The sequence below is a fragment of the Homo sapiens genome, chromosome X (assembly GCF_000001405.40).
Source record: "Homo sapiens chromosome X, GRCh38.p14 Primary Assembly".
NCBI classification, from domain to species: Eukaryota; Metazoa; Chordata; class Mammalia; order Primates; family Hominidae; genus Homo; species Homo sapiens.
The window spans coordinates 32,806,809-32,830,928 of record NC_000023.11 but is presented as its reverse complement, the minus strand read 5'-3'; the positions used below and the strand labels follow the sequence as shown (position 1 = coordinate 32,830,928).

At 35.4% G+C, this 24,120-nt stretch overlaps 1 protein-coding gene across 17 annotated transcripts in view; it reads left to right on the top strand.

The window, feature by feature from the left end:
* Nucleotides 1-24,120, top strand: part of DMD (dystrophin) — a 2,220,167-nt gene that overhangs the window by 508,460 nt on the left and 1,687,587 nt on the right. For all 17 annotated transcript variants that reach the window (XM_006724469.4, NM_000109.4, XM_011545467.2 and 14 more), the window contains 3 exon segments: nt 7,542-7,634; nt 14,289-14,461; nt 21,318-21,436. In XM_006724469.4, the coding sequence (XP_006724532.1) occupies nt 7,542-7,634; nt 14,289-14,461; nt 21,318-21,436 (385 nt within the window).

Here is a 24,120-nt window from a genome sequence, read left to right as displayed (position 1 = left end):
TCTATGTGCAATTCTTACAGACTGCTTATTGTAACTTGAGGTGTTTCTAAAGAGTTCACATTTTAATATTCTACTGGAGTCACAATAAGTTTCCATTATGTCAAAGCAAACCATGGAGGTTTTCTATCCTCCAAAATTACATTTGAATAAAGCAACTTCCGAAGATAACAGTGTAAAACTCTGAGACAGCATCCCATGTTACTTTATGAGTAAAATCTTAGGCCTGTTGACAGGAACTACAAAAGCCAATTGTGCTGCGTAGTTTAACTTATTTCTGCAAAAACTCAAGGCATGTTATTACATTTTCACACAGAATATCAATTTTCACACCTATTTTGGTATCAGATGTTTTCATTGTGCAAAACAGGAAAGCAGAACTTTGGGTAACCACAGTGACCCTACTATTTAATTTCCAACCATAGAGTGCTTGTCACAACACTGATACACACAGTAGGCTCGTACATTAACATACATGTCATATTAATGTTTTCTGTTTTGCTTAGTAGACAGATGTAATCATTCACTTCACACAGATTTTAAAAGGTTTTAATATTTTTACCATTCAGTTATTTAGCAATTAGACTGATAATTCTTGAAAGACATAATTCTGGAATGTGTATTAGAAAAAAAAACATAAAAGAGAAGTTACTGTATGGCAGGGTGATGATTATTTAAGAGGAAATAGTACTGAATTCAGAAAAATGTTATGACTTACAGCTAATAGTAAGAAATACAGCATTATAAGAGCAACAAGCTTATGAGAATTCATGGCCAAAACAGACCAGACCGTCAATGTGAGGCATTGAAGAGTAATATAAATGCCATGAACAATACCCTTTCAGGCATGACAAATACCTCCCTCCTCTAGAGTCTTCATGGTTATCAATTAGCATTTCTTACACTCCTTGGTAGTTTGAAGAAGACATGTACAAGAGACAAAACACAACCAAAATAAATAATAATCCTTGTCTGTATCATGGTGTGAAATGTTTATTAACTTGGAGAGAGAGCCTCTTAAAGCTTTTTGTGGAGAATTCACTAGATGTAATTAATGAAATATCTTCTATCCAGACATAGTTTTAAATCAGACCTTGTGGAAGCTTCATTTATCTTTGATACTCTGTTTCCCTCTTGGTAAAATGCACATAAATGTAAAATGTTCATGAACTCTTGGTAAAATTTATATAGCTCATACATACTCTAATGATGTAGGCATAGTGAAATCTGTATTCAGAGAGAACTGTATAGCCATAAGATTTTTAAAAGATGGAAATAAAAGAAGTATGCATCTTAAGAAATTGTAAAAATAGAAACAAAAATAAAAATTGTATTCAACGTAGAAAATTGAATAAGAATAATCCATTCAAAAGTGAGCTCTTGAAAAGATTAACAAAATAGGTAAACCTATCCCAGTCATAACAAAGAAAACTTAGAATAAAAACTAGACGAGATAAATGAGAAAAGACGCATGACAGCAGATACAGAAGAAATGAAGTGGAAACTAAAAGCAATTTTATAACAATTTTGCAAAATTCTGGAAAACTTGATTTTCTCGTACAATACAAATCACTAAAATTGAGATAAGAATAAGTGGAAAATTAGACTGATTACTTCAGAAAACATTTAGTAGGTTATTAAAGGTGTACTGTTGAAGAGTGTAGTAGGATTCTTTACAAATGAATTTAACGTAACCCTTAAAGAATAATTTATATACTTTAAGCTATTCCAAAGCATATGAAAAGAAAAAAACTCCACAATTCCTTTTGTGATGTCAGGTTAACCTTTGTACTTAACAGTCAAAAAGCAAAGATCATAAATCTGTAAGACAGTTTTACTTTTGAATGAAATACAAAATTTTGTTGAATTATAAGAAATATAATCACATTTTGCAAGTGGTAAGCATTCTACAAATGTTATCTCTTATTTACCAAGAGCTCTTAAAATTCAAGAAGGAAAAGAAAACTACCATATAGAAATTAATGAGCAAAACATATTAACAGACAATTCACACATGGAATTGTAATAGGTCAGTGATACAAAAATATATTCAAATGCACAAGGAATCATGGAAATAAAAGTTAACAAAGTGATGTATTTGATCATACAAACAAAACTAAAAGAATCAAAAACAAAACAAAAATTTCCTGGTGAGAGAAGAGCCTATTCTTATACATTCTGGTTAAAATATGTAATTCTAAATTGTTTCTAGGAAGGCAGGTGGAAACACCTACTAAAATTACATATATATGTGTATATATGTGTGTGTATGTATATATGTATATAGATGTATACATATGTATATATGTGTATAGATGTATACATATGTATATATGTGTATAGATGTATAGATATATATGTGTATATGTGTAGATACACATATACTTGTATAGATATGTCTATATCTCCCTGAAATGATGCGTATATATATATGTATAGATGTATCTACTAGAGCAGAGTGTGTGTGTGTGTGTGTGTGTATACACACACTCTGATCCAGTATATACATCCTGTGAATTGTTATAATAACAGTAGAAGCATCAGTATCTGAAAATGTATGCATAAGATATTGGCCAGGTGTGGTGACTGCTGGTGGGAATGTTAATCAATTCTGCCATTGTGGAAAGCAGTGTGGTGATTCCTCAAAGAAGTTAAAACAGAAATACCATTCAACCCAGCAACCTCATTATTTGGTATATACCCAAAGGAATATAAATTGTTCTACGATAAAGACACATGCACATATATGTTTATTGCAGCACTATTCACAGTAGCAAAGATGGGGAATCAACATAAATGTCCATCAACAGTAGACTGATTAAGAAAATATGCTACATATACACCATGGAATACAACCCAGACAAAAATAAGATTGTAGCAACATGGATGCAGCTGGAGCCGTTATCCTTAGCAAACTAGTGCATGAACAGAAAACCAAATATCACATGTTCTCACTTATAAGTGGGAGTTAGGCTGGGCGCAGTGGCTTATACCTGTAACCTAGTACTTTGGGAGGCCGAGGCGAGCGGGATCACCTGAGGTCGGGAGTTCGAGACCAGCCTGACCAACATGGAGAAACCCCGTCTCTACTAAAAATACAAAATTAGCCAGGCGTGGTGGCGCATGCCTGTAATCCCAGCTACTTGGGAGGCTGAGGCAGGAGAATCGCTTGAAACTCGGGAGGCGGAGGTTGTGGTGAGCCGAGATCGTGCCACTGCACTCCAGTCTGGGCAACAAGAGCGAAACTCCACCTCAAAAAAAAAAAAAAAAAGGGGAGTTAATAACAAGAACACATGGATATAAAGTGGGGAACAACAGACACTGGAGCCTACTCAAGAGTAAAAGGTGGGAGGAGGGAGAGGATCAGAAAAACTACCTATCAGGCACCATACTTATTACCTGGGCGATGAAATAATGTGTACATTAAACCCCCATGACACGCAATTTACCTATGTAACAAACCTGCACATGTACTCCTGAACCTAATATAAAAGTTAAAAAAGAGTAGCTGTCTGCCACTGAATACAATTCTGTCCCTGAATATAATATCTCCAATTCCCAATCAGTTAATTACCCCCTAGTGATCTGAATGCTTTCTGGCATGCTTTCTCCACCTGATACTTTTCTTCATTCCAATCTATTTTTTCTTTACAGATTTAATCAATACTGAGTACATGAATATATCTTATGTCTTTTGCTTATCTTTTCACAATGTTACTTCCTTTTTCTTACCCCTTGGGCTTCCGTGAGACACAGTTGCCTACCTAATTGTTTTTCCTGTGGATATAGATAAATTTTATTGGAAAAAAACCATGAACATTTATTTAGGTATTATCTGTGGCTGCTGCTGTGTGTGTGTGTGTGTGGGGGGGGGGTGCGATGTGTGTTCCAATGACTTATTTTTTATTGTGGTAAAATACAAATGATGTAAAATTTACCATATAACTATTTTTTATTTTTTAATTAGCAAAAAAAATTGTATATACCATGTAGCATATGATTTTTTAAAATATCTAGATGTTGTGGAATGCTTCAAGCTAATAAACATATACATTAACTTATATGTTTATCATTTGGGGTTGAGGACACTTAAAATCTATTCTCTTAGCAATTTTCAAAATACAATATTGTTATTAACCAAAGTCAGCATGTTGTACAGTAGATCTCTTGAATTTATTCCTATTAAATGTAATTTAGTATCATTTGACCAACATCTGCCTAACCCTCCTCCTCCAAGCTCTATCCCCTGCTAACCAACATTTTACTCTCAATTCTATGAGCTCAACATTTTAAAATTTCATATACAAGTGACATGATGTAATGTTTGTCTTTCTGTGCCTGGCTTATGTCATTTGACGTAACGTACTCTAGATTCATTAATTTCATTGCAAATGAGAGGATTCTCTGCTTTTTAAGTCCGAGTAGTATTCCAGTGTGTGTGTGTGTAGGTCTGTATACCTGCATTTTCTTTATTCTTTCATCTACTGATGGACACTTAAGTTGATTTCCTATCTTCGCTATTTTGAGTAGCACTACAATATACATTGAAGTGCAGTTATTTCTTTGACATATTGATTTGTTTCCTTTGGAATATATACCCAGCAGTAGAATTCCTGAATTATATGGTAGTTTTATTTGTAATTTTTTGAGAAACCTCCATACTGTTTTTCATGACTACAATAATTTACATTTCCACCAACACTGTGCAAAGATTCCTTTTTCTCCACATCTTTGCCACAACTTACCTTTTGTCTTTTTGATAATAGCCATTCTGTGTGATGTAATATTTCATTGTAGTTTTAATTTGCATTTCTCTGATGATTAGTGATGTTCAACATTATTTCATTTATGTGCTGGCCGTTGGTTTGTCTTCTTTTGAGAAATGTCTATTCAGGTTCATTGCCCTAGATAGGGTTTGAGGTATCATTTTTTCTATTTTTTTAGTGTATAATTCAGTGGCTTTAAGTATATTTCTGTTGTTGGGTAGTCATCACCGCTATCCATCTCTAGAATGATTTCATCATCCCAAGTTGAATTCATACTGATTAAACGATTACTCTCCATTTTCACCTCCCCTAGCCTTTAATAACTTCCATTTTTTCTCTATGAATTTGGCTATTTTAGGTACCTCATATAAGTAGAATCATACAATATTTGTCATTTTATGTCTTGCTTATTTCACTTAGCATATGTTTCCAAGGTTCATTTATGTTGTAGTTTGTATCAGAATTTCATTCCTTTTTAAGGCTGAAAATATTCCGTTGTATGTACATACCACATTTTGTTTATCCATTTATCTGTAGATGGACATTTGGGTGTTCTCACATTTTGGCTATTGTGAATAATGTTACTATGATAATTGGTCTACCAATATCTTAATCTCTGTTTTTAATTATTTTGGTTATAAACATAGAGGTAGAATTGCTAGAGCCTAATGGTAGATACTTTTTTATTATGTGACCTTCTGTTGTGAACTTTTTGACACTGGGGGGGTAGTACCTTACTTTCCTTTATCAGGTCTGAGCCCAGTACCTGAATATAGTGGAAATTGGACCTTATGAGACCTTTTATGAGGACAAGGAAATGGAGGAACTATCTTCCTGCTTACACAGTGACAAGTCTTATGACAGTGGATAAGGGGTTACTGGAATCTAAGTTCCTATTACTTGATCTAAGTCTCCCCAGAGTCAGGTCCATGGCAACCCAAAACGTATCTACCAGCAGTGCTTCCCGCAGTATGAGTGAGTATGTTTCCTAAAAATAGCATATTCTCTGCTTAACTGCTTGAGTCTTTAGTGCTATATCATCTGATTGTCACTATCACTAGAATTAAGTTTCATGAAAGCAGAAGGTTTTTACTTTTACATGCTCTTATTACTTCATTGCCTGGCAGATAGCCAAAAGGTACTTGTTGAGTTAGTGAATCAATGAATCAATAGATAAATTCATAGTGGCTTTTCCTTATGGAGGAATTTCTCTCCTCTACTGCCATATGAGGAATCCCCAGATGATGATGCAGATGATGATGCTTTCTTATTCTTGAATGATCAATCTCCCCTTCGATGTAGTAACATCTTATAAAACTAAAATACGATATCATGACCAAGATGTCAACATTCATAAAACCACCAATAGTATTCAGATTTTCCCAGCTTTACTCATATTTATGTGTATGTGTGCATGCATATGTGTGTATTTAGTTCTATGCAACATTATTACGTGTGTAGGTTTGTAAATCCACCATCAGAGTCAATATGCAGAACAGTTCCACCATTACAAGGGTCCCTCATATTGCCCTTTTATAAGAACATTCAGCTACCCCACATCTTACTCCCATTCCTGACCTCTGCCAACTGCTATTCTGTTCTCTATTTCTGTAACTTTGTCTTTTCAAGACTCTCATAGATACGGATTCATACAGTATGCTACCCTTTCAGAATGACTTTTTCCCCACTTAGCATAATGCCCATGAAATTCATCCAATTTGCTGCATGTATCAATAGTTTGTTCTTTTCATTGATGAGTGTTATTCCATGGTGTGGCTGTACTATGGTTTGTTTATCTACCCCTGAGGGCATCTGGGTTCCCAGTTTGGGGCTATTACAAATAAACGTAGTATGAACACTTAGGTGCAGGTTTTTGTGTACACATGTGTTTTCATTTCCTTGAGATAAATGCTCAAGAGCCCAATTACCAGATTGTATAATAAGTACATGTTCAGTTTTGTGAGAAACTGCCAGACTGTTTTCCAAAGTGGCTATATCATTTGAGTTTCCACTAGCAGGGGTTGAGTCATCCAGTTTCTCCACACCCTCACCAGCATTTTATGGCACTATTTTTTAATTTTAACCATTATGATAAATGTGCAGTGATACATTATTGTGGTTACAATTTGCATTCCTCTATTGGCTAAAAACATTGAACATCTTTTCATATGCTTGCTTTTCAGATGCTTGTGTTTAACTTTACTCCACCTTAAACATTTGAGGAGTGTGAAGGACAGGAGACACAGAGATTTGCCTTGATTAAGGCAAATAAAACCCTGCCAGATTTTCATTTCCAAACACAGTCCTAGACAGAGATAAGAGAGCTGGCAGTTTGCTCCATTGTTTATTAGAGACCTAACATTCATTCTAAAACAGAGGCGTTTTACTAAAATGCAGTCAGCCTTAATTATAATGGCACTCCTTGGAGCTAGGTGGAAGTACTGGTGAATTTTTCTGAGTTGTAATTCCATACTAGAAAGCATATCTTAATTTTAAACATACTTTATGACATTTTATTTGGAGATACTCCAGTTGACCTCTTTAATCTGCAGTAATCTATTCATGTGCTGAAAGTAAATATATTTGGGGTGCTTGTTTGTTATGGAAAGTGATTTTACACATGCATTTTGTTTAATTTTTAGATTATTTTCAAAAAGCTTCAATGCTAAGTCTCTGAAAATAGCTAAATGCAATTACCTTCACGTTTTTATTATTATTATTATTGCAACTAGGCATTTGGTCTCTTACCTTCAAATGTTTTACCCCTTTCTTTAACAGGTTGATTTAGTGAATATTGGAAGTACTGACATCGTAGATGGAAATCATAAACTGACTCTTGGTTTGATTTGGAATATAATCCTCCACTGGCAGGTAAGAATCCTGATGAATGGTTTCCTTTTGGGTAACATTAATCTTGTTTTTTAATTTTTACCCTTGACGTGTGAAACAAATGTGTATTTCTAACAATAACAAACCCTGCTCCATAGTGCTGCTTTTTAAATTGACACTACCATGTCGTCTGAAATGTTAAGGATCATCACGGTATAAAATAGGTTCTGGTACATTTACAGGAATATTTTTCAAAATTTTATTTCATTGAGTAAGTATAAGGTAAAAATACAAAGTCCCAATCATAGGTGAGTAATTTTTTTCACAAATGTATGTTCTATAACTTGTCTATAAGTTAATTTAGTATGTTTTATTTTAATCACTACCAAAGGAATGAGGCTTTCTCAGTCTTGGGTATTCTTAACATAAATTATTGCCAATAAAAGATTAGTAGAATATGGGTATCTCTATCAATAAATGTGTGTAATACATACAAACTCCATAATGTGATTTGGAAATTATTTTTAAGTCACCTGAGCATAGGGTCTTCCGACTGTCTATTTGACCTCTGCAAAATGGGTTGAAGGATTTGTGGAAAAGATACAGACACACACCCGTGTGTGTGTGTGTGTAGTATATATGCGTATATATATAATGTGTCTATATATACACACATATATACAATATGCATGTGTGTATATACACACACTCATATCCACACATTATATATGTATATATATACACACTCATATCCACACATTATATATGTATATATAAGACCAACATGAACTTATATCCACTAATATTATCCACTCATTGTATACATATACATAATAGTATAATCATAATATGTATACATAATCATACATGAACTTATATCCACTAATATTTTCCACTCATTGTATATATATACGTAATAGTAACTCGTTATACACATATGTATAAATATGTATGTGTATATATATATACCAACATGAACTTGAATTTAAACTTCCACGGTTACCATCTTAGTGGCATTTGGTATATTGCCACCCCTGTTCTGGGCCATGGTCCCTTCACTATCAAAAGAGTAAAAATAAAAATAAATGTGTATGTATTTCTTATCACGATTAAGTGGGAGAATATCTGCAAGGCACTCAGTGTAGTATACCACTTTTATTTGAGGTGTATCATATGACTTGTATTGATTGCTTAAAGTTTTCCACTCATTTAAAAAATTTGGAGGCTGAGAAATGACTGCTGTTTTTACTGGTCGGGATTACTTTTTTATAAATCAGCGTTTTTGAAATGTAATTGTTAGACCATCAATGTACTCATTCTAAGTGTAAAATTCAATTTGCATCAATCTGGTTTAGTTCTGGTTCTTGGTAGCCTCTCAAACTATTTTGAGGGATGAATAACTCCCCCCCACCACGTTCATTAAAATTTGCAGGATATTTACAGAGTTATATAGCCATCATAGCGATCTAATTTTGGCACTTTTCCACCACCTTAAAAAGAAGTTTCTTCTCCATTTACAGTCATTTTTCACTCCCACCCCAGCCCTAGGCAATTGTCAATCTATTTCTGTCCATATGTATTTGCCTTTTTGGATATTTTATATCAATATAATACATGTTCTTTTGTGTCTGGCTTCTTGCAATGAGGGTAATAGTTCAGATCCAGCCCTATTGTAGCAGATATCATGGCTTCATTCGGTAAACTTGAATTTTTTTATTTTTTATTTTTATTTTTTTTTATTTTTATTTTGAGACAGAGTCTTGCTCTGTCGCCCAGGCTGGAGTGCAGTGGCGCGATCTCGGCTCACTGCAAGCTCCGCCTCCCGGATTCACGCCATTCTCCTGCCTCAGCCTCCCGAGTAGCTGGGACTACAGGCGCCCCCCCACCACGCCCGGCTAATTTTTTTTTGTATTTTTAGTAGAGACGGGGTTTCACCGTGTTAGCCAGGATGGTCTCGATCTCCTGACCTCGTGATCCTCCTGCCTCGGCCTCCCAAAGTGCTGGGATTGCAGGCATGAGCCACTGCGCCCGGCTTGAATTTTAACTTGAATTGTAGATTGCTCTTGCTCAGAGTCAAATAGTGAGTAGACACAAAGAGTACCTATTAAATTCAGCAGCCATGTTGCTCTCCTAATTGGCCCCCATATATTTTTATTCCAAATTCTCTGAACAGGCTTAATGCTACTTCACAACAGTAAGCGGGGAGAGGGGAAGAGAAAGAGCGGGAATTAATATGTGCTGGCAACAAAGAATAGCTCATAGGAGCCTTAAGTGAGCCCAAGTTGGCCGATTTTCAGCCCGTTCCATATAGTGATGGTGTCAAATAGAACCAGCAAGCAACATACCGCATCTCTCCCCAAACTGCTTTTCATATGTTGCTCAGTACTTCTCAAAATATCTTGAGGAAGGAACACTTTTCCCCTAATCCATTGTATGTAAGATAGAATAAAACCAAAGCGTTACAAAAATAAGATGCCCAACACCCATGCTTCCTCCTTTATTATTAAATACATTAGACATAAATGGTACTCTGTAAAATCGCTACATAAGTTTCTTGATGCACTCTGAATTGTTGACTTTATCTTATGGCATAGTAACAAATAATTCCTAGAGTGAATCCAGTTTGCAGATCCCGCTTTGCGTAAGACAGATGTAAGTTTTGACAAAGCCAGCAGAAGAACTCAAGCATGCACAGAGCTCCAAAAGGCACTCTGAACTGTATTTATTGTTTATACTACTTCTTATATGATCTTACCATTTTTAAAAATATCCTGAAGCCCTTTCCAACTCCATCTGAACTAGTCCAAGATAAGCTTTCAAGACTATTATGTCTGATAATTTCTTCACTTGCTTGCAAGTTGTTCATTTATTATTATTTTTTTATTTTTTATTTTTGAGACAGAGTCTCGCTCTGTCACCCAGGCTGGAGTGCAGTGGCGCGATCTCTGCTCACTGCAAGCTCCGCCTCCTGGGTTCATGCCATTCTCTTGCCTCAGCCTCCCAAGTAGCTGGGACTACAGGCGCCCGCCACCACGCCCGGCTAATTTTTTGTATTTTGTTCAGTAGAGATGGGGTTTCACCGTGTTAGCCAGGATGGTCTCGATCTCCTGACCTTGTGATCCGCCCGTCTCGGCCTCCCAAAGTGTTTGGATTACAGGCGTGAGCCACCGCACCCAGCCCATTTTTCATTATTAGCATGTGGAGGCGCTTTTGCAATGAGGAATATCAGAAGGAATGCTTTTTAAATCTTTCTTTGTCTGAGACCTCTCTTATAGCCTGTTGTTTTTCATTTATGCCCTTGAATCACCATATCCTTGAGACTGCAAGACTGTAGACTCTTCCCAGCCTCTGCTTACTTATCTCATCTCTCTTATATCACACTGCCCTGTTCTAAAACTATTAAGCACACTTTGAAAAATTATCTTGCTCAGTGTTCATCATAATCCAGTGAATCTAAAAATGTGTTTTTCTTTTTTTTTTTTTTTTTTACACCAACATTACATATTTTCTTCCTATTAAATGGTAGAAGCCCTTGAATTTCAGCAAAGATTAAAGGACATTTTGGTCAACTTAATGTACATTCTAGATCTATCAGATAACGAGCGGCATTTACAGATAGAACCATGTTGGCCCCTTTTTCTAATGCAACATACTATGTTATTAATAGTGCCATGGAGGACTTCTCATTGAACTTGTGAAAACTCAGGAATGCAAACTCTGTTTTCCTATTACTGTTTTTCTACTGTCCATCTCAAATAAAATTGCTAGCCTAAAACAGTAACGCATATTTTGTAACATAGGCAGGTTTGAACAAAATTGCAAAGCATATAACATGTGTTTGGCATCTTTTTCTTCCTTCTTAAGTGCAATTCTTTTTTTTTCGGAGTGCTAAACTTGGCTCTGGCAACCAGCTGGTTGTAATAACAAATCTTGCTAACAGTGGTGAGCTATCAGAAGTCAGGTCCATACTTTTACTGGACAATTCAAGGGATGTACTTAATGGCAACGCTAATTCACTTTAGAATGTTCATATTATTGATACAATTTGCAATTACAGGAGAATGATGACGTTCGCACTGCTGAAAGCCATCCCTGTAAATTCCTGCCTACCAAGTCACTTCTGTGCAAGACAGTTCTTGCTCTGCTCTTCTGCAGAGCTTCACAGAAACTATCCTTACCATATAAGATTATTCCTACCCTCTTCATTTCTATTCCTCTGCTGCAACTTCTTTTAATCACAGTCTGGGTTCTGGGGAGTAGACTTCGGAGTTGAGTTTGGCAGGCAGCATGTTTATTAAGCCATGCCCTGGAAAAAAAAAAAAAAAAAAAAACACCTGTAGAAGGGCAGAGGTGACAGGAGTGGAAAGAGGAAGAACTAGAGCTGTGACGTAGACCCTATGACACGCTTATTCAAACCCCATAGACAACTTGCAGCTAGGATGACCCCTCAGAGTTGTCTCAAATGGGGTTAAAATGGCTGAGTGTTTATACTCTGCCCCTTCATCAGTCAATAGTAGTGGGTTGCCCTAGAGAGGGTGTGACATTGGCTGGCAGGACTCTGCAACTCAGGTGGTACCTGAGAGAACTAACAACTAGAAGCTGCCTGACCACAGCTGGAGCAACAAGCCCTTCCTTGAAGGTCAATCTTGGTGGTGCACCTCCATGTCCATCATGCCTTCTTGGCCCAGTTAACTCCTAGTCATTTTTAAAAATCACTGCTCAAAGACATTTCAACTTTTTTCCTTTTAAAAATTGATTTATAGTTGTATGCGCGCACACACACAAATACATCTGTTTAAATTGAGCCTCCTTTAGAGACAGTGAGACCTGAGGACGGGACAGTTTTCTGTTTACAGGCTCACCTTTGGGGACCAGCTCAATGATTTTTTGATAACTGCCTTTTATGTAGGAAAAGGAGACATGATTATCATACATTGCCCTTTATTATTTTTTTTTGTCTGAGCAACATTTGCACCTAAGTAGAAGCAATAACAGCGAGGCTGAGGCTGATAAGCTGAATTAGTGACATAATGATGCTATAAAGGAGTTTTGGATTGAATACTTTGTTGTCCTTTAACGTTATGCACATAGAGGGCAGACTGGCCAAGCATTTCACAAATGAATCACATTCATCATTGGAGGATTGCTTGATTATTGCAAATCCATTACCACCATTAAGCCACTATCTGCTGATTCCAACCGTAATTTAGCACAGGACACAAAATACACCTCCTGCAGTCACTGTACATAAAGGTTGAGCAATTTATAATTTTAGAATATGAGACAAATTACGTAATTATTTGACCTGTATTCACTGAGTAACTGACTAAATAAGTAGGTCAAGAAGGAATTAGGAAAACTTGGATAATCCACTCCTAAATAATAGGCTTAGTTATCAAGGGATTGTGACAGATACATGCAAAGATTTCATATCTCCGAATCGTTACTGTGTTTACAAAGCATCATCTCAAATCTTTTAAAAGTATGTTAAAATGAGATTTAGTAGTATATCCTAAAATTTGCATTTACTTTTTAATAAAAAGATGACTAACATTGGAGATGTTAAAATATGCATTTACCCCAAAGGCATTTGTTAACTTCTATATGGATGAAAAAATAAAATTGTCATATTTAGAATGCACAATAAATATTCATCATCTGATCAAATGTTGATAGTATATGAACCTTAACCTTCCCAGAAGGAAAGTGCTTAGTGGTACAGACTGATCACTTTTACATAGATGTCTTCTTCCAGCATCTCATAAGGGGCTTATATTTAAAAAGCAGTCTTTAATAAATAATAATTCTTTAATAAAAGATGTAGACAGTTTTTTCTATGAAGCGTCACTGCATTCATGAAACTTAGAAAAAATGCTTAGAATGGATTTCTGCATCAGATGACTCAGAAGAATTAAACTTGATAATCTGTTGAATAACATCTGCACATGCACGAAGCCTATGAGACAATCAAATACATGGAAACCAAGTAATGAAAATAGAACCAAGGCTACATATGTACACCTCTTAGGGATAAATATTTCCTTCCTTTGTTGTTTTTTTTCTTTATTTTAGGTAGGCAAACATTTCTGTCTTCTTTTCAGTTCAGCCAATAAATATAGCTTGCGTTAAATGATGGTATGAAATCAGGGGTTTTATCTGACCATATTTTGTACTTTGATCTTACACTAACCTTGCATGTAAGATACACAGAAATGAGGCCTAGAAGAGGTTAAGCAACTTGTCCAATTACCACAATTAATAGCAAAGGCAAAATTTGAACATATACTTTAAAAAACAATTATCTATAGTATTCCTCCTATCCAAAAAGCGCTTTTATATCTTAAGTCCTTGGTTAACAATAAGTCTAATGTTTTATACACTGTCTTCTCTAGCTTGTTCATTGAAAGCTAGAAGGTGAGCAATTCTATAAACAGTAAATGTTGGGTCTAATATGGCAGAATCCAGGAGTAATAGTGAACACATTCAGTAAATGGTATGGCATAGATACCAATGAATCAGAATAGACTCCTAGCCTTTGAGAATAGACTTAACTTCTGGTAGAATCTATTATGTCTCATTACTAATTGGCCCTAAAATTTCTATTTATCACTGAAGATCAAGGACATTCATATTTAAGTTTGCATGGTTCTTGCTCAAGGAATGCATTTTCTTATGAAAATTTATTTCCACATGTAGGTCAAAAATGTAATGAAAAATATCATGGCTGGATTGCAACAAACCAACAGTGAAAAGATTCTCCTGAGCTGGGTCCGACAATCAACTCGTAATTATCCACAGGTTAATGTAATCAACTTCACCACCAGCTGGTCTGATGGCCTGGCTTTGAATGCTCTCATCCATAGTCATAGGTAAGAAGATTACTGAGACATTAAATAACTTGTAAAAGTGGTGATTTAGACTCTGATGACATATTTTTCCCCAGTATGGTTCCAGATCATGTCCTACTTTACAACATGTTATGTACATTGACCACATTGATCTAACGTTCCATTGGAATGAACTAATTAAGAATATTTTCCAGTGTTCTATGGGATACATATAATTCAGTTGTTGAAACATTAACATTAGCGGAGCGTGAAAGTGGTTATAGTGGAGGGGGAGAGTATCAATATGTTTGACACTGGGAATCCCAGTAAATCCAGGTTGTATTCTAACTTTGCCGAGAATGGTGTTGGTCTTTTTATACAGATAATGTGTTTGTATAAGCCTAAACTATACAGGTAAAAATGATACTAGATCTCATGTGAGTAGTTGTAGTTAAATTAATTACCATCATCAGATACGTAGTGTGGAGAAAGAAACATCTGTCTTATCAGATACACACTTTGATATCAAACACCATAAAGCCCTGTATACTTTGTTCTAGTTCAGGGTCATAAGATGCTCAGAGCATTTTTAGTAACCAAGACAAAGAGCAGAACACAATTAATTATATGACACAATGTTTTGAATACCAACAGAAACAATTGCACTGGAACAGCAAATCAATTGCTATAAAGCAAGAGAGAGATCTTTTGTGGATTTTAATAAAAAGAATTCACTGTAATACAGTGAACCAAAGTCCTTAACTATATTCCATTCAACATTATATTTCTTAAGATGAAAAAGATTTTTTTTGCTTTTCTTGTGTAAAGTTCAGTAAATGAATTAATAACAGTTCAAGAAAAAGCAAAGCAGTGTAGGAAATACATATGTATATGTACACATACACTTAGAGATACAATATATACTATATGCCATATATACTACACCATTTATACTCTATATATGTATATATATGTGTGTGTGTGTGTGTATATATATATATATATATATATATATGCTTGTGTGTGTGTATTTGAGAGAGAGGGACTACAGTCACTTTATTTTGGTCTTCCTGTTACCCGTTTCATTTACCCAACCCAGGGCTAAATGCATTGCCTAATTAACTGTTTAAAATGTCACTGGACTGCATCTTGCCTAATTTTCAGTGCAAGTTATGTTTTCTCACTTTGATTTTTTTTTTTTTTTGACCACTCTACCATTTTCCTATGCCAATCCTGCTTCTAGAAAAGCTAAGAATATTAATTTTCTCTAAGGTAAAGCTCAGTCCAAGAGCAAACACATTTCAAATAAGCATCTTTGTCAGGTGTCTTGCTCCAGCTGGATTTAATTAACCCCATCCCGACTGGGTTTCCAGGTGAATTACTCAGCAACCTGATTTAGAACAGAGGCAGACATGCATTCAAATGTCACGTTAAGCAGCGTTAACACATTGTTTCTCGTATGACAGAAGAAAATGTTTCCACAGCCTCAATACAGTTAGATGAGAAGGGATAGAGACATTCTGTCTGTGTTTTAAGTCAATGCTCATTTATGCAGCCACATGCTTAACACTAAGGGCCCGAAAATATTGATTTTGCTGTTCATGTACACATTTGCAGATGAATAAAAATATCAAGGATCAGGTTATGTGGTCCTTGTTGGCTCTCTAACGTTTTTCCCTTCAAGTGGAAGACTTCAATCCTGCAAGCATGTTCCCACTCTATATTTGTTAATATTCTATTTAATGATTTCTGAATACATTTGTAGGTAATACAGTAAACATACCCAAATTGCCCTGTTTTATCTGTCCCTGACCCACTCTTTCTCTGTCAAAATATCCTCATTTATATACTCTCTCCTGTCATATTGGATGAATCATCAGTAACTCTCTTTATGTATTACATGGTTACTTTTCAAGAGGTTCTTCACAGTTGTTTAATGTTCTTTCATGAATCATCTCCCCCTTCTTTTTGTATTTGGCAGATGTTCATATTCTTTATCTAAAGAAAAAAATGGTTGAACTCTCTGTTCCATAGCGATTGTCGTTGGCACAATTAGGAATGTCATGAGGTGCCCTCATTTCAATAATTGAGTGGTTCAACTATACAGAACAAAGACATGTAGTTAATATAGAGCATAAGGATTGACTAAGTGTCATGGCAGTTAAAAGTTGTGTGATAAAACGCAAAGTCCACTACAATACCCTTCAAAGGAAGCCAGATTTCTACTTTTTGTGTTAAAACCCAATGATAATTGCTTAGAAATATGTACAAAAGATGCAGATAAAATTACAATAACTATAAAGTTACAATTGTCTTCCTAAATCCTTATTTTAGTGTATTACCACAGCAAATTAGAAGCAAATGAACACTAGAATCAGGAGCAAAGGGAAAACAGAAACACAATGTGTCTTCATGACCCCAATCTTAACTTACCTTATTTCAATTCTTAGATGCAGTCACTGTCAGCTACTTGTACTTTGGTTCCTGCTGGTTATAATAATATGTGTGATAATGTTTCTACTTGTTGACAAACTAATTTCTAACAGTATAGGTATTTACTCCATAGTATGAAAACCAGCCATATTATGTTTCATCCCCAGGTATTTCCTAATTTTATTACTTATAATCATTTTATAGTTGTAATTTTTGCTTTTATTACATTAAATGGTATGAGTATACCTCATTTTAAATTTTTACCAAGTTTAGAAAGGAACTTTTGACCAATATGAAAAACGAGAAAATCATCACACATTCTTACTCTCGCCTCTTCTCCACCTCCCATTTCGGATTACATTCTGTTTGCATCAGTAGTATTTGTAACATTTATATCAGTTCTGTAAAGATAGGTGTTTTTGGCTTGAGTCTGTAAATTGAAAATACATCACTCTTCTTATATAAATGTAATTAACATTACAGCAAAATAATAGAAACGAATGTTTTTAAACAATTATTATTTTGTAGACACCGTTCTAGGTAAAATATTCAATCAAGTTCCATGACGTAGATGCTGTCATTTTACCCATCTCACAAATAGATAAATTGAGTCATAGAGAGGTTACGTAATTTACCTAAAACTGTTTGGCTAACATGTGGTAGAGCTAGGATTTAAATTTACACTATCCTAATCATGGTGTTGATTTAATTAAAAATCTGGTGATCCTTGGTTGCAAGTCAATAAATTATGGTCCAGGTTAACATTAAATGCTGTGTGGGTTTCCTTCATAGTTGGTTAGTTTTACAATTTTTATGCATTTGAAAGTCATAGATATTTAAAATGTTAATTAATTTTAATAGTATAAAAGAATTCAATTCATTTTTAATGCTAGACGTGACCTCAAAGGCCTTTTGGTTCAATGCTTTTTGAATGAGAATGCCAAAGCTCAAATAAATTATATGACTTAGATAAGATATCCACACACTCAGTTGGTTAGTTAGTGGCCAAGGAAATGGGGAAGGTAAGACAAGGGAATACAGCACGAATGCATAAGCAATGCTCTTTTTTCTCATCATACTCAATTTAACCTTGTATACTATGCCATAGATGAGAAAACTAGTTTCTCATATGTTCCCACCTATGTCCTTTTTTTACTCCCATTGCCTACAGAAAAAAATGAAGATAAGGCAGAGTGCGCATAGTGAACTTAAAAGTCCCCTAAATATTCTACAATTTTTAAATTTTTTTATATATTTTTCATAACAAAGGCATTATCCAATTTGTAAATAAGCTAGTTTCCATAAGCTTGTTAGCTGTTAGGGGTATTGGAAAATATGGAGGGATTCGATTTCCTAATAATTGTAAAAATTCTGGTGTATTAACTAGAGTAGAAGCAATTAAGAAGAAACCAATAAACCTATACCTTTATTTATGTATTTTTTTGAGACGGAGTCTCGCTCTGTTGCACAGGCTAGAGCGCAGTGGGCCAACCTTGGCTCACTGCAACCTCCACTTCCCAGGTTCAAGCGATTCTACTGCCTCAGCCTCCTGAGTAGCTGGGACTATAGGCACGAGCCACCATGCCCTGCTAATTTTTGTATTTTTAGTAGTGTCGGGGTTTTACCATGTTGTCCAGGCTGGTCTCGAAATCCTGGCCTCAGGTGATTGACCCGTCTCGGCCTCCCAAAGTGCTGGGAGTATAGGCGGGAGCCACTGCGCCTGGCCAATTTTGAATTACAGTTTTAGAAAAATAACAGCTAAACTACCTTTGTAACTTTTTTTTTGTTTTTTTCGTTATTTTGTTTTTTTGTTTTTGCATAGCATGAGCTCTTAAACAGGAGTCCATTAATAGATTCAAATATTCTAAAACTGTATGTAGACTCTGTTCACAGATATGGAGAGTTTTTTTGTAGGAGTAGAAGTTTCATAGCTCTCAACAGATTCTCAAAGGTGTCTGTGATTCAGAATAGGTGAAGAACCACTTGACTAATGACTTCCAGTGCTGTTGGGATAAATTATAATACGTTAACAGCCAACACCTTATGCAAACTCAGCCAGTTTCTTTCTTTTAAACCTATCTCCCACCACTTGATACTTAGAATCTTCCAATGGAGCCAGGCCTGTGAGGTCTTGATTATCTGAGCATGTTTTGCTTTTTTCCTTCCCTAAGAACTTTAATTCTCTAACGCTCACACAACTTAGAATTCTATTATCAATACATTTTTTTTAATGCAAGTCGAAACGTCTATTTAATCTGTCTTTCAGCCTCAGAAAACTTTCTTGACCGCTTCAGATTTTACAAAACATTTTCTTATTGTCTGTGTTTTTTCACATTTAGAGTTTAATTAATTCATATGGCTTCTTCATTTTTCTTGCTCATTAAATTTAAAATCCTTATAAGACAAGAACTGCCTCTTACACTCCTTTGCATTTTCTCTATTATCAAGTAACATGGTATGTAAGTTTCATGTGCTCATCCATTCTCTCGTGTAGTTGATAAATATTTGTTGAGCCTTTATTTTGTGTCAGGCTAGGTTTCCAGCAGTGAACAAAATAGGCAATAAAAGATTGTACATTCTAGTGGAAGAGAAAGATACACAGAGAAATTTAATTAAATTATATAATACGTTAAATAGTAAGTGTTAATGAGAATAGTATAAAGCAGATAAGGAGAAAGAAAATAAGTATATGTGAGTTTGATTTGAGGCATGCAGTTTTCTTTCATTTATCTATTTAGGAGACTGGTTCTTCCTCAGTCACCCAGGCTGGAGTGCAGTGGTACAATCATGGCTCACTATAGCCACCCAGGCTCAAGTGATTCTCCAACCTCAGCCTCCTGAGTAGCTGGGACCACAGGGGCATGCCAGCACACTTGGCTATTTTTTTTTTTTTTTTTTAATAAGTTGTAGAGACCAGGTCTCACTATGTGGTTCAGGTTGGTCTCTAACTCCTGGCCTCAAGCAAATCCTTCAGCCTCAGCCTCCCAAAGTGCTTGGTTTACAGGTGTGAGCCAAGGTGCCTGGCCAGCATGCAATTTTAGATAGGGCTTGGGCAGGGAAGAACTTATCAGTGATGTGATTTTCGAGTAAAGACCCAATGGAAGTAAAGGAGTGAGCCATGTTTATGTCTTCGAAAAGCGAATTCCAAATCCAAGTGCAGGAAACTATGGATCCTGTTTATGGAATATGAGGAAAGAGACAAGAAATAAAATCAGAGAGTTAATAGGGACCTGGACCCTGTTGGACTTCGTAGATCACATGAAATACGTAATTTGTACTTCCCCTAAAGCAGAGATTTGAGAAGACGGATATGATGAAACATGTTAACAGATCACTCTGGCAACTCTGCTATGCACTAATTAACGCAGGCAAGAGTGAGAGAAGAGTTATGAGGCTATTGTGATAATTCATGCAAGATAAAATGGATTTTGGACTAGAGTGATGGCAGTGAGGATAGTCAGAAGCAGTCAAATTCTGAATACATTTTGAATTAAATGTTGTGTGAGAGTAAAATAGTCATTAAGGATGACTCCAAGGGTTTTTATCTGAGCAACTGCAATTTTAAACACATTGTTCATTATTGAGGAAGGGAGAACAGCAAGAAAAGTAGGTAGGTTTGGGGGAGTATGATGAGGATAAACATCAGAAGCTCAGTTCAGGACACTTGAAGCTTGTGATTACTAAATGGAGATAATGAGTGTTTAGAAGAATCTATAATTTGAAGTTTAGGGAAGAGGTCTGGGTTAGACATATAAAACTGGGCATTACCAGTAAATGGCTGGTATTGAAATCCACGAGACTGGATGAGATAGATAAATTTTTGTTGCTTGGATAAGCTAGCGTAGATTATTTGTCATCTTCAGGATTTTCTTTTTTCCCCACATCTTTATTGCTGTATAATTGACAAATAAACGTTGTATGTATTTAAGGTATACATCCTCAGCATTCTTTTTTGATACAGGGTCTCACTCTGTTGCCCAGGCTAGAGTACAGTGGCACGATTATGGTTCACTGAACCCTCAACCTCCCTGGGCTCAGGTGATCCTCCCACCTCAGCCTTCTGAGTAGTTGGAACTGTAGGCATGTGACACCACACCCAGCTAGTTTTTCTTTCTTTCTTTCTTTCTTTCTTTTTTTTTTTTTTTTTTTTTTTTTTTGGTAGAAACAAGGTTTCACCAAATTGTCTAGGCTGGTCTTGAACTTCTGGGCTCAAAGGATCTGCCCACCTCCGTCTCCCAAATTGTTGAGATTACAGGCATGAGCCACCACACCCAATGAGATCTTCCATTAAAATTATTACTTGTTTAAATAGAAATATTTTAAAGGGTAAATGAATTACACTCAAGACTTAAGGACTATGGGCATTGGTTGTCAATGAAAATTAAGCATGGAAGTAAATCTCATGGAACATTCTAGATTGATTTATATTTGTCTTTGTGTATGTGTGTATGTGTATGTGTTTTAGGCCAGACCTATTTGACTGGAATAGTGTGGTTTGCCAGCAGTCAGCCACACAACGACTGGAACATGCATTCAACATCGCCAGATATCAATTAGGCATAGAGAAACTACTCGATCCTGAAGGTTGGTAAATTTCTGGACTACCACTGCTTTTAGTATGGTAGAGTTTAATGTTTTCATCTGAGACTTGTCATTTCTACACAAAATACAAAACTACATATCTTAAGTTTTCCAATACTGTAGATATATTTAAAATGTTCAGCCTTCTTGCACTATATTATGAATTGTCTTATTTAATTCTAGTTCTCAAAATACCAGTATCTAAAATTGCAGTGAAGACTTTTAGGAAAAAAGCCTTTAAAATGTGTATGCCCTATGGATGGAGCATACTGCATTTGGAGTGCATTGACTCCAAATAATTATAAAAAGTTAATGTTTTGCTTATGCTACCAAGAGATTTGATAGAGTAATCAGCTATAATTAATTAGCTACTCTTGCCAATTTCATTCATATACTCTATAAAAGGCAACATGGTTTACTATTTAAATCAGGAAATCTATTCCTGCCACTACTTCTGTTGTAATTTTTCACTCTGGGGAGATCCTCTGTTGGATGGTTACTCATTTTCTGCTTCTTTAGTTGATAGGCAGAAGTGTATTTATATTTTTATTACATTACACTTCAATAACTTTGACTCTTATCTCTGGTGCTACATAGTCATACCTTCCAGACGTAGAGATTACAGAGATAATAACACTGTGACCTCTACTCTTCTTCTAGCCTATGAAGTACACTTTTTGCCATGCCAATTTTGAAATGGTAGCCTCTGTTCTCAATTCTCAAGGCTTTACTACACTCTAAAATCAGGAGTTGGAAAAGTGAAATCGGTGGGATTGAAGATGATATTTGGGTAGAAGCTGTTCTACAATAGAAGCTGATAATTAAATGCTTTTGGGAATATTAAATCGATTTCATCAATTCCAAAACAGGAGATCTTTCAATATGGATGGTAGGTCCCATCAAGAAAACTCAAAAATGACCCAGAAGACAGCCTTTTGCCAGTGAATTTATTATCAACCAGAATCTAGTACTCAGTTTTGCAGACGCAGAAGCCTGATTGCCTCAGATCATCTAGCAGATCCACATTGGGGTGGGAGGAGTTAACTTTAAGTTTAAAAAGTGATATATAAATAAAAATGGAAATTCAGTAATCTTAAATGAGATATAACAAGCAGCAGAATATTCACATACAATTGACAAATATATTGCTCTTGATAAGCACATGTACTTGGGAAAGCAAATTACAACAAAAATGTTAGTTTGTGAAGTTGGGATCAGATTAAGTTGACTTGAAATGTTTCTTCTCCTTTGGATAATGCATGGCTGAACACTGAATACTGTAACCCCTTTTTATTGCTTCTATACACGATAGTATCCCTCCTACCCCTGTTTTTAGCTCTAAGGGAGAAACTATTAATCCTACGTCCTTAGTTTGCAGTATAGGGGAGGATTACTTTACTATTGACTCGTAGTACACATTTGTATGTTTTCTCTTAGTTCAGTGAGGTAGAAAGGGCAGACATAATGAAAATACGGACTTCAACCTCTGAGGATAAAGAGCTATACTGTATGAATTTGAAAGATAAGGCTGTTAATATGTTTGTTTTTTATTGAATCACATATGGTCAGTTCCCATTATTGGGGTGTATGCTCTAGTTATTCTTGTGTGTGTCCTATCCTTTCATAAAACAGTAAGAGAAGATTTAAAAATAGATATTTTTCTTATTAAGTGACAAAATGGCTTTTGACCTCTAGTGCTCCTTTGAACTTACAGAATAGGAGTGCCTAAATGGGCATCCACATCATAATCAGAAAATAGGTAAATATATACACCTATGTATATATCCACAAAAAATTTAAATGAATAAAAACAATTTTAAAAAGTAGGTTGACGAGCCTGTAATCAGAAAAAGGCAGGTACATGAATAGTGTATTTTATAGCTAAAAGAGCCTGGTATACCTAACTCCATATGCTCTCCTAAGTGGGAAGTATATGTAGAAAGGTACATTGTATATCCTATAAGATCACCATTTTACTGTCTCAAACTTCAACAATTTAAAATCAACAAAATGTAATATGAAATACAGGCTGATTAATGAAGATCCAGCCACTGCTTATGGTCTCGTTTTCCCAATAAAATCTCATATCTGTAAAGCCTTTCTATATATAGACTCTTCCAATTGAAAGAGCATCTTATCGCTTAAACAGGTTTCCTGTTTATTTGCGTAGAGGTGTTTGTAGTATTCTCTGATGGTAGTTTGTATTTCTGTGGGATCAGTGGTGATATCCCCTTTATCATTTTTTATTGTGTCTATTTGATTCTTCTCTATTTTTCTTTATTAGTCTATCTAGCAGTCTATTTTGTTAATCTCTTCAAAAAAAAACACCTCCTGGATTTGTTGATGTTTTTTTTTTTTTTTTTTTTTTTTTTTAAATGTTTCCGTCTCCTTCAGTTCTGCTCTGATCTTAGTTATTTCTTGTCTTCTGCTAGCTTTTGATTTGCTTGCTCTGGCTTCTCTAGTTCTTTCAGTTGTGATGTTAGGGTGTTGATTTTAGATCTTTCCCGCTTTCTCCTGTGGGCATTTAGTGCTGTAAATTTCCCTCTCAACACTGCTTTAGCTGTGTCCCAGAGATTCTGGCACATTGTATCTTTGTTCTCATTGGTTTCAAAGAACTTCTTTATTTCTGTCAGAATTCTGTTATTTACCCAGTAGTTATTCAGAAGCAGATTGTTAGTTTCCATGTA